This window comes from Homo sapiens, chromosome 20 (genome assembly GCF_000001405.40).
Source record: "Homo sapiens chromosome 20, GRCh38.p14 Primary Assembly".
Taxonomy (NCBI): Eukaryota; Metazoa; Chordata; class Mammalia; order Primates; family Hominidae; genus Homo; species Homo sapiens.
The window spans coordinates 34,334,354-34,350,826 of NC_000020.11; the positions used below are offsets into that span (position 1 = coordinate 34,334,354).

The following is a 16,473-nucleotide window of genomic DNA, read 5'->3' on the forward strand; positions in this document are numbered from 1 at the left end:
CCTCTGCCTCCCGAGCTCAAGTGATTCTCCTGCCTCAGCCTCCCGAGTAGAGTAGCTGGGACTACAGGCATGCGCTACCATGCCCAGCTAATTTTTGTATTTTTAGTAGAGACGGGGTTTCACCATGTTGGCCAGGCAGGTCTCAAACTCCTGACCTCGTGATCTGCCCACCTCGGCCTCCCAAAGTGCTGGTGGCACAGGCATGAGCCACCACCCCCGGCCTATGTACTTTTTAAATGCTGCAATTAGCTTATTATGTCATTAACTGTTACATGCATTCCAATTTCAAAGATATTAAAAGGTAAACAAATGTGCATCATAGAATCATTAAAATATGAGTCCCTAAGCACTGAAATTGGAAACAATGCCCTTGCCCCAATTTTTTAAAATGTCCCTGAACTGTAAAATAAATAAACATAAGGGGATTTCCCCAAGATGATTACTTTTAAGTTTTATGAGGGAAAATGGTAAATGTCAAATTCTGTCCCTAAACCATATCTCATCTCTTTTGTTCCTCTGTAAGGGCTGAATCAGCCTGTTGGGTGACCCAGGCCTGCCCTGGGGGAGGGAGGAAATCCACACAACTGAGTCCTTTGAGCCTCTCCCCTGCCCTGAGTTCAGTAGCAGCTGGAAAGGGGCCCAGCTTTATGGGGGAACAATGGTGCCAGCCAGCTTCGGGTGAAACAAGGCTGAACAGCCTGGCTGGGTCTGGCCTGGGTCCAGAAGAGTGCCCCTTGCACCTGAGGGGTCCGCTCCCCTTCAGCAAAGGACAGATGAAGCCAGGGAAAGTGGAGAAAGAACTCCCTGGGCTTTCTCCGTGAACAGCTCTCTACGTAGAATCCCAGAATCACCCAGCCAGAGGACCTCAGTGTCCATGGAATCAAACTGCTCCATTGTACAGATGGGAAAACAAAGGCCCCAAAGGGGGCTGGAGCTTGCCTAAGGTCCTTCAGTAAGTCAGTGGCAAAGCTGGAGCCACAGTCAGGTTCCCTTTAATTCAGCATGTCTACCATTAAGTGCAAGTCTGTGCGATCTTTTGCTGTTTTTTGTTGTTTGTTTGTTTCTGTCTTTTAAAAATGCCCAAATTGGCTGGGCGCAGTGGCTCACGCCTATAATCCCAGCACTTTGGGAGGCCAAGGTGGGTGGATCATTTGAGGTCAGGAGTTTGAGACCAGGCTGGCCAACATAGTGAAACCCTGTCTCTACTAAAAATACAAAAATTAGCCAGCGTGGTGGTACATGCCTATAATCCCAGCTACTCGGGAGGCTGAGGCAGGAGAATCGCTTGAACCTGGGAGGCAGAGGTTGCAGTGAGCTAAGATCACGCCACTGCGCTCCAGCCTGCGTGACAGAGAGAGACTCCTACTCAAAAAAAAAAAAGAAAGAAAATGTCAAATTATGTTGCTTGTACAAAATGTCTGTCTGACACATCAGATAGTGTCTGACTCACCTGCCCATTGGAATGAGAAGCTCAGGATCTCAAGCATGAATGCCTCCAGGATAGAGGAGACCTGTGGGTACATGCCTGCCCCTACTCCTTCAAACTAATATTTACTGTGACATAGTAACTTCCTGGCTTCAAAGCTCACCTCTAACGCTTCCCATGTATGTGACCTTGGGCAAATTACTTATCATCGTGGTAGTGGCCTCCAAGATGGCCCTCAATGATTCTCTCTTCCTACATAACCACCAGGCTACTGCAGAAACAGGTGTGACTTCTGAGGCCAGGTCAGAAAAGACAATGCAAGGCTGGGCACAGTGTCTCATGCCTGTAATCCTAGCACTTTGGGAGGCTAAGGTGGGAGGATCACTGGAGTCCAGGAGATTGAGATCAGCCCAGGCAACATAGCCATAAAACGAGACCTCACCTCTACTAAAAAGAGAAAAGAAAATTAGCACCTGTGGTCTCAACCTACTTGGGAGGCTGAGGTGAGAGAATCGCCTGAGCCCAGGAAGTCAAGGTTGCAGTGAGCTGAGATGACACCACTGCATTCCAGCCTGGGCAATAGAGCAAGAACCTGTCTCAAAAAATAAAAACAGCCAGGCGCAGTGGCTCATGCCTGCAATCCCAGCACTTTGGGAGGCCAAGGCAGGCAGATCACGAGGTCAGGAGTTCGAGACCACCCTGACCAACATGGTGAAACCCCGTCTCTATTAAAAATACAAAAATTAACCGGGGGTGGTGGCACGTGCCTGTAACCCCAGCTACTCAGGAGGCTGAGGCAGGAGAATTGCTTGAACTTGGGAGGCAGAGATTGTAGTGAGCCAAGATCGCACCATTGCACTCCAGCCTGGGCAACAGAGCGAGACTCCGTCTCAAAAACAAAACCAAACAAAAAAACAAAGAGACTGCAGCTTCCATCTTGCTCTCTTGGATCACTTGCCCTAAGGGAACTTAGCTGCTATGTTATAAGCACACTCAATGTTATATGCTATGTTATAAGCACAGCCCAATGCAGGGACACACACAGCAAGAAGTAACTGAGACTGCTTGCCAACAGCCAACTGCTTTGCCAGCCGTGTGCACGGGCCCGCTTGAAACTGTATCCTCCAACCCCAGTCCAGCTTCCAGATGACTGCAGCCCTGGTCAACATCTTGAAACTTATGAGATGTTTCTGGTGAGAATCACTCAACTAATCAGCTCCTGAATTCCTTGCCTATAGAAAATACCTGAGGTAATAAATGTTTATTGCTGTTTTAAGCTTTGTAGTTTTGGGGTAATTCCTGACACAGCCACAGACAATGAATACAATCACACTTTGCCTCCTTTTCCTTAAAATGAGGATGATGGGAGGACTTGCTTTATATAATCATGAGGATTCCATATGATACATGAAAAGAATCTGGCTAAGCTGGGTGCAGTGGCTCACGCCTGTAATCCCAACACTTTGGTAGCCCAAGGTAGGTGGATCGCTTCAGCCCAGGAGTTTGAGACCAGCCTGGGCAACACAGTGAAACCCCGTCTCTACAAAAAATACAAAAATTAGCTGGGCATGGTGATGTGCGCCTATAGTCCCAGCTACTCGGGAGGCTGAGGTGGGAGGATCGCTTGAGCCTGGGAAGTTGAGGCTACAGTGAGCTGTGATTGTACCACTGCACTCCAGCCTAGGCCACAGAACAAGACCCTGTCTCAAAAAATAAATAAACCAATAAATAAAAATAAGAAGAGTCTGGCTCATAGCAAATGCACAGCAGATAGGAACCAATATTGCTGTATTATTATATGGTCTCCACTAATCAAGAGGAGAGGTTGAGAGCTATATGAGGAAGGGCCAAAAGGAAAGATGAAGTAGCAACCCCCAGTCTCTTCATTTTCCTGGCAATTCAGCTCTGACTACATTTTCATAGAACCTCCTAAGACAGAAGCCCCATGGGGAAACTTGATCTCCCTAGAAGGCAGTGTAGGGACTATTTATCACTCTGCAAGCATTCCCCTTCGGGTGCTCAGTCTTCATCATCCCCACCACTAGAACTTATCAACTAATTTCTTGCTTATCTACTAGGAGTCCCCAGTCAACAGAATTGACTCCATCTCAGCACTTTCCAGGGACATTCCCAACCTCTGGAAGCTATCCAACAAAGGCTTCCTTTGCTCCTTAATTTATCTCTGAGAAGCAGGTTTAAATTTTAGCTCTGCTGGGTTGGGCACAGTGGCTCACACCTGTAATCCCAGTGCTTTGGGGAGGATGAGGCAGGCAGATCACTTGAGGTCAGGAGTTCAAGACCAGCCTGGCCAACATGGGGAAACCCCGTCTCTACCAAAAATTAGCTGGTCCTGTGATACACTAGCCTGTAGTCCCAGTTACTCAGGAGGCTGAGGTTAGAGGATCACGTGACCCCGGGAGGTGGAGATTGCAGTGAGCTGTGATGGCGCCGCTGTTCCCTAGCATGGGTAACAGAGTGAGACCCTATCTCAAAAAAAAAGACCTAAACAAAAATTTTAGCTCTGCTACCGATTTGTCCTTTGTCAAGTTACTCAACCCCTTGAGCCTCATCTCCTCGTCTGCCAAGCAGAAATAGCGAATATTTGCTTCCGGGTTGTTGGGGGAAGAAAATGAAGCAAGACAGCAAGGTATGAATGCTTTATTGGATGGAAATAATAAATTGTCAATGCCTCCGGACTCTCAGGTGCTGCTCAACGCCCTGCCCTGCCCCAGGAAGCTTCTCCCCACAGCGGAAGCCACTTAGCTCTCACATGCAGGCTCTGCCCTGTGCTGGGCTTGACACCAACTTTGGTGGTTTTTGTTTTTGTTTTCAAGATGGAGACTCGCTCTGTTGCACAGGCTGAAGTGCAGTGGTGTGATCTTGGCTCACTGCAACCGCCACCTCCCGGGTTCAAGCAATTCTTCTGCCTCAGCCTCCTGAGTAGCTGGGATTACAGGCGCCCGCCACCATGCCTGGCTAATTTTTGTATTTTTAGTAGAGACAGGGTTTTACCATTTTGGCCAAGCTGGTCTTGAACTCCTGACCTCAAGTGATCCACCCACCTCAGCCTCCCAAACTGCTGAGATTACAGGCATGAACCACCAGGCCAGGCCTCTGTTTTTTTTGTTTGTTTGTTTGTTTTGGTTTTTTTTTTTGAGACAAAGTCTCCCTCTATCACCCAGGCTGTATGTAGTGCAGTGGCACGATCACAGCTCACTGTAACCTCCACCTCCCAGGTTCAAGCGATTCTCGTGCCTCAGCATACTGAGTAGCTGGGAATACAGGCTTGCGCCACCGCATCCTGCTAATTTTTGTATTTTTTGTAGAGACGGGGTTTTGCCACGTTGGCCAGGCTGGTCTCGAACTTCTGATCTCAGGTGATCCACCCGCCTTGACCTCCCAAAGTGCTGGGATTACAGGCATGAGCCACCACTCCTGGCAGCTTTGTTTTTTAATCAGGGAACTTTTTTTTTTTTTTTTTTTGAGACAGAGTTTTGCTCTTGTTGCCCAGGCTGGAGTGCAATGGTGGGATCTTAGCTCACCGCAGCCTCCGCCTCCCAGGTTCAAGCAATTCTCCTGCCTCAGCCTCCGGAGTAGCTGGGATTACAGGCATGTGCCACCATGCCCGGCTAATTTTGTATTTTTAGTAGAGATGGGGTTTCTCCATGTTGGTCAGACTAGTCTCGAACTCCCGACTTCAGGTGATCCGCCCGCCTTGGCCTCCCAAAGTGCTGGGATTACAGGCGTGAGCCACAGCACCTGGCTTAATCAGGGAACTTTAACCAGATTTTATCTCTTTCATCAGGGGTTCAGCAGTAACTAGCATATGTGCCTGACTGAATGCCTCCTTCTTATGACCAAGGCCAGCTTAAGATAAATTATTTTTATTCCTATTTATTTATTTATTATTTATTATTATTACTTTTTGAGATAGAATCTCACTCTGTCGCCCAGGCTGGAGTGCAATGGCGCGATCTCGGCTCACTGCAACCTCCGCCTCCAGAGTTCGCGCCATTCTCCTGCCTCAGCCTCCAGAGTAGCTGAGACTACAGGCGCCCGCCACCACGCCCGGCTAATTTTTAGTAGAGACGGGGTTTCACCGTGTTAGCCAGGCTGGTCTCGATCTCCTGACCTCATGATCTGCCCACCTCAGCCTCCCAAAGTGCTGGGATTACAGGCGTGAGCCACCGCGCCCGGCCTATTTATTTATTTTTGAGAAGTGGTCTTACTCTGTCACCTAGGCTGGAGTGCAGTAGCGTGATCATGGCTCACTGCAACCTCGACCTCCTGGGCTTGAGTGATCCACACCACTGCACTCCACCCTGGGCTACAGAGCGAGACTCCGTTTCAAAGAAAAAAAAAAAAGGAAGAAAGAACTCAGGGTTGGCAGAACAAGCTGTAGTGTCTCTGCCTTGCATCCTGGCATCTCCTCTGGCCTGACTCCCCAGGGTGATTTTAGGAGTTGTTCCTACCTATGCATAGCTCCCAATACTATGGCTTTGCCCCTCATGGAGATTCTGTGAGCCACCCAACATCCTGTAATAACTCTTTCCTGTTTAAACTGAAGTGAGTTGGTTTGTTTTGTTTGCAACTAAGAATCTTGATTGACACACTGCATAACAACTCTATCAGTATGTGTACCATTTGTATTATTTTGAAATAATTTTTTATTTAATTAGTTTTTTAAAGTAATGACAGTCACTTGTGAAGCCACCATCCCAAAATAAAATGTAGAACCTTAACAATAACCTACATCTGACTATATACCTCCCTCCCCACCCAACCTCTTTCCCAACCCTAGTAACCATCCTCCTGAACCTTATGCTCATCATTCCCTGTTGCACATTATTTTTAATTTTCTGTTGAAATATAATATACATATAATAAACTGAGCAAATATTAAGTGTACAATTCAAATAATTTATGTGTGTGTATAGATTTTTGTGTAACCAAATCAACATATAAACATTTCCCGCCAGGTGCAGTGGCTCACTCCTGTAACGCCAACACTTTGGGAGGCCGAGGCGGGCAGATCACCTGAGGTCGGGAGATTGAGACTATCCTGGCTAACCCAGTGAAATCCTGTCTCTTTTAAAAATACAAAAAATTAGCCAGGCGTGTTGGTACATGCCTGTAATCCCAGCTACTCAGAAGGCTGAGGCAGGAGAATTGCTTGAATCCGGGAGGCGGAGGTTGCAGTGAGCTGAGATCGCGCCATTGCACTCCAGCCTGGGCAACAAGAGCAAAACTCCATCTCAAAAAGCAAACAAACAAAGAAACATTTCCCATCCCCTAGAAGCCTCTCTTGTGATCTCTCCCAGCCAATTCCTGACACTTGAGAGTTACCAGTATTCTTACCTCTGTCACCCTAGGTTTGTTTTGCCTGTTCTTTTGTTCTTTTTTTTTTTTTTTTTGAGATGGAGTCTCACTCTGTCACCCAGGTTGGAGTGCAATGTACAATCTCGCCTCGCTGCAACCTCTGCCTCCTGGGTTCAAGTGATTCGGTGATTCTCCTGCTTCATCCTCCCAAGTAGCTGGGATTACAGGCTTGTGCCACTACGCCCAGCTAATTTTGTATTCTTAGTAGAGATGACGTTTTGCCATGTTGGTCAGGCTGGTCTTGAACTCCTGACCTCAGGTGATCCGCCCACCTCTGCCTCCCAAAGTGTTGGGATTACAGGTGTGAGCCACCGCACCTGGCCTGTTTTGCCTGTTCTTAAAACATTTAAACAAAGTAGGCCTGGCACAGTGGCTCATGCCTGTGATCCCAGCAACGTAGGGTATATTTTAGTACAAGGCGGAAGGATCACTTGAGCTCAGGAGTTCAACACCAGCCTGGGCAACACAGCAAGACCTTGTCTCTACAAAAACTTTTTAAAAAATTAGCCAGATGTGGTGGCTCACGCCTGTAGTCCCAGCTACTTGGGGTGGGCTGATGTGGGAGGATCACTTAAAGCCAAGAGTGCAAGGGTGCAGTGAGCTATGATCACACACTGCACTCCAGCTTGGGTGACAAAGAGAGATCCTGTTTCAAAATAAATAAATAAATAAAATAGTAAAGTATATTTTTTATGGTATGCATTTTTTTGGTCTGGCTTCTTTCACTATCATTATGTTTCTGTAATTCTCCTGTTTTTGCAAGTAGCAATAGTTGTTCTTGTTTTTTTTTCTTTCTTTTTTTTTCTTTTTTTGAGATGGAGTATCGCTCTTCTTGCCCAGGCTGGAGTGCAATGAATGGCACGATCTCGGCCCACTGCAACCTCCGCCTCCTGGGTTCAAGTGATACTCCTGCCTTAGCCTGCCGTGTACCTGGGATTACAGGCGTGCACCACCACGCCCGGCTAATTTTTTTTTTGTATTTTTAGTAGAGATGGGGTTTCATCATGTTGGCCAGGCTGGTCTCCAACTCCTGACCTCAGGTGATCTGCCCCCCTTAGCCTCCCAAAGTGCTGTGATTACAGGTGTAAGTCACCAGGCCTGGCCTCATATTTTTCTTTAAATTGACTCACTTCATTTATTTTATTTAATTTATTTATTCATTTTATTTTATTTTATTTTTGAGACGGAGTCTCCCTCTGTCACCCAGGCTGGAGTGCAGTGGTACAATCTTGGCTCACTGCAACCTCTGCCTCCCTGGTTCAAGTGATTCTCCTGCCTCAGCCTCCTGAGTAACTGGAATTACAGGTGCCCACTGCCACGCTCAGCTAATTTTTGTATTTTTAGTAGAGATGGGGTTTCACCATGTTGGCCAGGCTGCTCTCGAAGTTCTGACCTCTGGTGATCTGCCCACCTTGGCCTCCCAAAGCTCTGGGATTACAGGTGTGAGCCACCTGGCCTTTTTTTGTGTTTGTTTTTTTTTGGGGGGGGACATGGTTTCACTCTGTGGCTGGAAGTGCAGTGGCATGATGATGGCTCACTGCAGCCTCCACGTCCTAGGTTCAAGCAATCCTCCTACCTCAGCACCCCCACCCCTGAGTAGCTGGGACTACATGTGCGAGCTACCATGCATAGCTAATTTGTTTTTATTTTTTGTAGAGACAGGGTCTCACTATGTTGCCCAGGCTGGTTTCAAACTCCTGGCCTCAAGGAATTCTCCTGCCTCAGCCTCCCAAAGTGCTGGGATAACAGGCATGAGCCACCTTGCCAGGCTATTTATTTTCTTTTTTCTTTTTGAGATGGAGTGTCACTCTGTTGCCCACGCTGGAGTGCAGTGCCGCAATCTCGGCTCACTGCAAGCTCCGCCTCCCGGGTTCACGCCATTCTCCTGCCTCAGCTTCCCCAGTAGCTGGGACTATAGGCGCCTGCCACCATGCCTGGCTAATTTTTTTTTTTTTTGGTTTTTGTATTTTTAGTAGAGACAGGGTTTCACCGTGTTAGCCAGGATGGTCTCGACCTCCTGACCTCGTGATCTGCCCGCCTCGGCCTCCCAAAGTGCTGGGATTACAGGTGTGAGCCACTGCGCCCGGCCTATTTTCTAAATAAAATAGTTTGAATACTAATCATATTCGTACATATGCCTCATTCTTTTTTTTTTTCCCCCGAGACGGGGTCTTGCTTTCTTGCCTACGCTGGAGTGCATTGGCTCCATCTTGTCTCACTGCAACCTCCGCCTCCCAGGTTCAAGCAATTCTCATGCCTCAGCCTCTCAAGTAGGTGGGATTACAGGTGCCCACCACCATGCCCAGCTAATTTTTGTATTTTTAGTGAAGACGGGGTTTCACCATGCTGGCCAGACTGGTCTGAAACTCCTGACCTCGTGATCCGTCTGCCTCAGCCTCCCAAAGTGCTAGGATTACAGGTGTGAGCCACTGTGCTCGGCCTTTTAAATTTTTTCTTCAGATGGTATCTGGCCATGTTGCCCAGGCTGGATTTGAACTCCTGGGCTGAAACTCTCCTCCCGCTGATAGATGCAGGAGGCAGATAAGGGGAAGGCCTGCCTGTACACTGGAAGAACAGGGTGGAGCCACAGGAAGTTCGAGCTGGATGCCCGGAGAGTAGCCTAGCCTCTCCAGTTCCTGTGTGGTGGCCTGGTAATCAATTTGCTAGGTAGGGGCCCGTTAGCAGGATCGCCTCTCGCCTCTCACTTTGCTGAGAGTTTTTTTCTTTTTTCCTTTTCACCCAGTGAATTCCATTCTCCTCACCCTTCAATGTCTCCACTTTCCTAATTCTTCCTGGTTGTGTGACAAGGACCTGGTTTTAGCTGAACTAAGGAGCAAAGTTCTCAACACCTTTGCCTCCTGAGTAGCTGGGATTGCAGGCTTATGTCACTATACCTGCCACCTTCTTCTTCTTTTTTTTTTTTTAGTTCCTGCATAGTTTTTCTAGTACCATAATTTATCTAGTCCTCTACTGTTGAACATTGACCTTATTTCCAATGTTTACCTATTACAAACATTGTTATGACAAATAACCATGTTCATCAGTTATTTTGTTCATTGCACATTTATCTAAGAGATAAATTTTTAGAGATGAAATGGCTAGGAACCACTGGCTGGTTTTTCTTTTCTTTTCTTTTCTTTTCTTTTTTTTTTTTTGGCGGGGAGGGCAGACAATCAACGTTCCCAGGTTGAAGCCTTTTTTTTTTTTTTTCTTAGACAGGGTGTCGCTCTGTCACCCAGGCTGGAGTGCAGTGGCAGGATCATGGCTCACTGCAGCCTTAACCTCCTGGGCTCAACCAATGCTCCCATTTCAACCTCCAGAGTAGCTGGGACGGCAGGCACATACCAGCACACCCAGTTAATTTTTGTGTATTTTATAGAGACTGGGGTCTCCCTATGTTGCCCAAACTGGTCTTGAATTCCTGGGCTCAAGCGATCCTCCCTCCTTAGCCTCCCAAGGTGCTGGGATTACAGATGTGAGTCACGGCGTTTGGCCGAGGCCTTATATTTGAAGACATCTTTATTTTATTTTATGTATTTTATTTTATTTTTGAGATGGAATCTTGCTGTCGCCGGGCTGGAGTGCAGTGGCGCAATCTCTGCTCACTGCAAGCTCTGACTTCCTGGTTCAAGCGATTCTCCTGCCTCAGCCTCCCGGGTAGCTGGGATTACACGCACGCACCACGCCCAGCTAATTTTTTTGTATTTTTAGCAGAGACGGGGTTTCACCATGTTGGCCAGCATGGTCTTGAACTCCTGAACTCATGATCCGCCCCCGCCTTAGCCTCCCAAAGTGCTGGGATTACAGGCGTGAGCCACTGCGCCCAGCCTTGAAGACATCTTTATAGAGGTATAATTGCCATACCATAAAATGCACACACTTTTAGTGTATAATTGAATGATTTATAGTAAATTTATTGAGTTGTACAACCACCATGACCAGAAAAAACAAACTCAGTTTCTCCCACTATACTCACAACAGGCCTCTGACACAAGATGTATAGGGGTTTTCCCCACACATCAGGCAATCAGTCAGTTCTGCAGTGGACACCAGCTGGGTGTTTTCTAGTCCAAATAAACTCTGATACTATCCACCTGAAAATAACACCAGGTCCCATAGGTTGAGTGCTCAGTCCCCAAGACTATCCTCACTTCAGATGCCAGTAATAAGTCCAGGCCTCCAGAACTTCAAACTAACCAGCCATAAATCAGGATTCCCACAACTCCCTCCCTGGGTTCCATTAATTTGGTAGAGGGACTTACAGAACTCAGGGAAACATATACATTACAAACGCTACAAATAAACAGCCAGATGGAGAGAACAAAGGGTAAAGTCTGAAAGGGTCTGGAGCACGGGAGCTTTTATCCCTATGGAGATGGGGTGTCACCTCCTCCTCCTGCGTGTGGATGTGCTCTCATTCACCTTCCTGGAAGCCTACAGGTGTTCAGCTATTTAGAAGCTCTCTGAACCCAGTCGCTTTGGTTTATAATGGAAGCGTCAGGCTGGGCCCAGAGGCTCACACCTGTAATCCCAGCACTTTGGGAGGCCTAGGCAGGTAGACCACCTAAGGTCGGGAATTCGAGACCAGCCTGGCCAACACGGTGAAACCCCATCTATATTAAAAATACAAAAATTAGCTGGTTGTGGTGGCAGGTGCCTGTAGTCCCAACTACTTGGGAGATTGAGGCACAAGAATTGCTTGAACCTTGGAGGTGGAGATTGCAGTGAGCTGAGATCACGCCATTGCACTCCAGCCTGGGAAACAGAGTGAGACTCTTGTCTCAAAAAAAAAAGCATCATTAGGTAAGCATGATTGATAAATAATTGGCCATTGGTGATTAACTTCACTTAGAGACCCTCCCTGGAGGTTGGGGGTGGGGCTGAAAGTTTCAACCCTTTGAACTAATGGTTGGATCCTCTGGCAGCCACTCTCCCATCCTGTGGTTATCTTGGAACTTTCCCCGAATCCTGTCATTAACATAAATTCTGCCGGGCGCTGTGTCTCACACCTGTAATCTCAGCACTTTGGGAGACCAAGGCGGGCGGATCATGAGGTGAGGAGATTGAGACCATCCTGGCCAACATGGTGCAACCCCGTCTCTACTAAAAAAAAAAAAAAAAAAAAAAAAACAAAAAACTAGCCAGGTGTGGTGGCACGTGCCTGTAATCCCAGCTACTCAGGAGGCTGAGGCACAAGAATCTCTTTAACCAGGGAGGCAGAGGTTGCAGTGAGTGGAGATCGCACCACTGCATTCCAGCCTGGTGACAGAGCGAGACTCCCTCTCAAAACAAAACAAAATATAAACTCAAGTGTGTTTGAAAAGGGATTGTTTTAAATAACAATATTTTTATCTTTCACCTTCTGGCACTGAAGCTATTCCAAGAGGGGTTTCAAAGATCTAGGACAAAAGGCCAAATATTTTAACAAAAGATTTTTTTTTTTTGAGACAGAGTCTCGCTCTATTGCCCAGGCTGGAGTGCAGTGATGCAATCTCGGCTCACTGCAACCTCCGCTTCCTAGGTTTAAGCAATTCTCCTGCCTCAGCCTCCTGAGTAGCTGGGACTGCAGGCATATGCCACCGCACCCGGCTAATTTTTTGTGTTTTTAGTAGAGACGGGGTTTCACCACATTGGCCAGGCTGGTCTCGATCTCCTGATGTCATGATCCGCCTGCCTCGGCCTACCAAAGTGCTGGGATTACAGGCATGAGCCACTGCGCCCAGCCAACAAAATATATTCTTATTGCTTTAGATACTTCCCTTATCCCCCAAGTTGGATTAAATGCTAGCTCTAGGGCTGGGCTCAGTGGCTCACGCCTGTATTCCCAGCACTTTGGGAGGCCAAGGCAGGTAGATCACTTGAAGTCAGGAGTTGGAAACCAGCCTGGTCAACATGGTAAAACCTACCTCTACTAAAAATACAAAAGTTGCTGGGCTCAGTGGCTCACGCCTGCAATCCCAGCACTTTGGGAGGCCGAAGTGGGCTGATCACGAGGTCAGGAATTTGAGACCAGCCTGGCCAGCATGGTGAAACCCTATCTTTACTAAAAATACAAAAATTAGCCAGGCATGGTGGCGTGTGCCTGTAATCCCAGGTACTTGGGAGGCTGAGGCAGGAGGATCGCTTGAATCCAGGAGGCAGAGATTGCAGTGAGCCGATATGGCGCCACTGCACTCCAGCCTGGCCAAAAGTGTGACTTTGTCTCAAAAAAAAAAAAAAAGTGGCCGAGCGCAGTGGCTCACGCCTGTAATCCCAGCACTTGGGAGGCCGAGGTGGGCAGATCATGAGGTCAGGAGTTCGAGACCAGCCTGGCCAACACAGTGAAACCCCATCTCTACTAAAAATACAAAAATTAGCTGGGCATGGTGGCAGGCACCTGTAATCTCAGCTACTAGGGAGGCTGAGGCAGGAGAATCGCTTGAACCCAGGAGGCGGAGGTTGCAGTAGCTGAGATCGCATCACTGCATTCCAGCCTGGGTGACAGAGCTGGACTGTCTCCAAAAAAAAAGTGCTGTTCCATTTGGAAGTCAAGGCTGATGCCACCTAAGTGGGTTCCTGCTATCCTGCTACAAGGAACTTGAAGACATCCTCTTTCTTCATTGGCAGGACATCAAGGGCTCTGGACATTGTGAAAGTTTCCCTTGAAGTTACAATGGGAATCCAGAACAACGTCACATGGACCCCTCCATGGGTAACACAGAAAGCAAATGGTGTCTTTTAAGATACAGAAAAATTTGAATTTTGATGGTTTCATTGACCAATTTTTCCTTTTATAGATTAAGCTTTTGTTGTCATATCTAAGAAATCTTTGCCTAACCCAAGGTCTTGAAGATTTTCTCCTATGTCTTTTTTTTTTTTTTAAGACAAGGTCTCATTCTATTGCCCAGACTGGAGTACAGTGGCAGGATCACAGCTCATTGCAGCCTCAACCTCCTGGTCTCATGCAATCCTCCTGCCTCAGCCTCCTGAGTACCTGGGACTACACACCTGCACCACTATGCACAAATAATTTTTTATTTTTTGTAGAGATGGGGTCTTGCTATGTTGCCTATGGTTGTCCACAACTCCTGGATACAAGCAATCCTTCCACTTCGGCCTCCCAAAGTGCTGGGATTACAGGCATACGCCACTGTGCCCAGTCCTGACATATATTTTTAAAATTTTCATAGATACAGCCAAATTGTCCTTCCACCACACAATTGGCATCACGTCAATTTATACTCCAATCAGGAGTATGGCTGTTTCTCACTTGCTTGGTAACACTGTTGAGATAGCAATTTTTTTGTTCCTGACCAATCTGATAGTGAAAACATGGCATCTCATAGTTTTAATAGCTAAAATCCTACTTTAGCCACATCCTAAGCAATATGTGTGAAATGACCAGCTCGATGCATTAGCCACCCACTGCTTCAGTATATACATTACTAAGGAATGCAACTGCTAAGATAAAAAGCTACCACACAATCTATTGAAATACTGACAGAAGAAATTATATGATGTCTGGGATTTGCTTTGAAATAAGCCATCAATGGAGGTAGTAGATGAAACTATTTTTCTTTCTTTTTGAGACCAAGTCTTGCTCTGTCACCAGGCTGGAGTGCAGTGCATGATCTCAGCTCACTGCAACCTACGCCTCTCAGGTTCAAGCCATTCTCCTGCCTCAGCCTCCCTAGTAGCTGGGACTACAGGCATGCGCCACCACGCCTGGCTAATTTTGTATTTTCAGTAGAGACAGGGTTTTACTATATTGGCCAGGCTGGTCTTGAACTCCTGACCTCAAGTGATCCGCCTGCCTCAGCCTCCCCAAGTTTGGGATTACAGGCATGAGCCATCGCATCCAGCCTTTTCTTAGAGATGAGGGTCTCTTTATGTTGCCCAGGCTGATCTCCAACTCCTGACTTCAAGTGATCTTCTCACCTCAGACTCTTAAAGTGCTTGGATTACAGGTGTGAACAAACATGCCCAGTCTGAAAACTATTGTTACTGGTATTTGAAGCTTATGACACTAGAAATTCATTATACTGTTTTCTCTTTTCTTATCTATCTCTGATATTTTTCACAATAAAAACATATTTTTAGGCTGGGCACGGTGGCTCATGCCTATAATCTTAGCACTTTCGGAGGCTGAAGCTGGCAGATCACTTGAGCCCAGGAGTTTGAGACCAGCCTGGGCAACATGGCAAAACCAGTCTCTATTTAAAAAAAAAAAAAAAAAGTTATTTATTTATTTTTTGAGATGGAGTTTCACTCTTGTTGCCCAGGCTGGAGTGCAATGGCGCAATCTTGGCTCACTGAGACTTCCGCCTCCTGGGTTCAAGCGATTCTCCTGCCTTAGCCTCCCGAGTAGCCAGGATTACAGGCGCCTGCCACCACACCTGGCTAATTTTTGTTATTTTTAGTAGAGACAGGGTTTTGCCATGTTGGCCAGGCTGCTCTTGAACTCCTGACCTCAGGTGACTCACCCGCCTCAGCCTCCCAAAGTGCTGGGATTACAGATGTGAATCACTGTGCCCAGCAAAAGTTGTTTTAAATGACCATTTATGGCACCACCTAAAATCATCTTGTGTACATCTGTCACTGCCCAACCCCTTGAAAGATGTTGGTTTAAAGGTTCAGAGTGAGGGCTCTAGGTCGGGCCGATCAAATGTGAATCCTGATTCCATCAATTACTAGCTGATCTCAGGGAAGTCGCCTAACCACTCTGGGATAGTTGCCTCAGCTGAAAAATCAACATTACCGAACCAGGTTCGTTCTGCCTGTTGCACAGTAAGCCAATCACTGAGATGATAAGTTTTGCAGCCAATAAAGAGATTATTCACAAGGCAGCCCAGTGAAGAGATAGGAGAACATGTCTGAAATCTGCATCTCTGAAAACAGGGTTTAGGGATGTTTATGGGATAAAGAAGCAAGGTGGTCCAAGGTGTAGGGAAAGGTGATTGGAGGTAAAGAAAAGTGGGGCCATTGGTGATCTGTGCAAGCCAGTTAAGCTTTATGGTTCATAGGATGCATGTTCAGAAAATGACATCATTAGTACGATCTAAGGATGGACTTTAGGGCTTTTTGGCACTCTAACATTGAAAGGTCACCCATCAGATACTCAAGCAGGCCGAGGTGAAGGGTCGGTGGGCTCAGCCATCTTGAACTGGATAAGAACTGACTGTGAGTTCCTGAAAAACAACTTAAGCAACCACTGTCACAGTGACCTATACATCAGAGATGTTATCTATAAGGAAGTTGTGGAAGTCTAGTTATATACTGCTTAGCTATGTGACTTTTAGCTATATAGGTTTTAAAATCAACTAGAAGCAAGTGACTAAAAGGAAACAAATCAAAGCATGATATAAGCTGATTCTTTTTTTTTTTTTTTTTTTTTTTTTTTGAGACAGAGTGTTGCTCTGTCGCCCAGACTGGAGTGCAGTGGCGCGATCTCTGCTAACCACAAGCTCCACCTCCCGGGTTCACACCATTCTCCTGCCTCAGCCTCCCAAGTAGCTGGGACTACAGGCGCCCGCCACCACGCCCGGCTAATTTTTTGTATTTTTAGTAGAGATGGGGTTTCATTGTGTTAGCCAGGATGGTCTCGATCTCCTGACTTCGTGATCTGCCCGCCTCGGCCTCCCAAAGTGCTGGGATTACAGGCGTGAGCCACAGCGCCCGGCCTGATAAAA

General features: G+C 46.9%; 3 annotated features.

The window, feature by feature from the left end:
* Window positions 3,907-4,016: an enhancer, noted in NCBI's record as "active region_17761". NCBI's record gives its function as "activates an Ori minimal core promoter by ATAC-STARR-seq in GM12878 lymphoblastoid cells {active_cell/tissue: GM12878}" and the evidence as "EXISTENCE:reporter gene assay evidence [ECO:0000049][PMID:35858748]".
* Window positions 4,067-4,116: an enhancer, noted in NCBI's record as "active region_17762". NCBI's record gives its function as "activates an Ori minimal core promoter by ATAC-STARR-seq in GM12878 lymphoblastoid cells {active_cell/tissue: GM12878}" and the evidence as "EXISTENCE:reporter gene assay evidence [ECO:0000049][PMID:35858748]".
* Window positions 9,964-10,127: a silencer, noted in NCBI's record as "fragment chr20:32932123-32932286 (GRCh37/hg19 assembly coordinates)". NCBI's record gives its function as "represses an EF-1alpha promoter that drives an FKBP-Casp9 reporter gene in an ReSE screen in K562 erythroleukemia cells {active_cell/tissue: K562}" and the evidence as "EXISTENCE:reporter gene assay evidence [ECO:0000049][PMID:32094911]".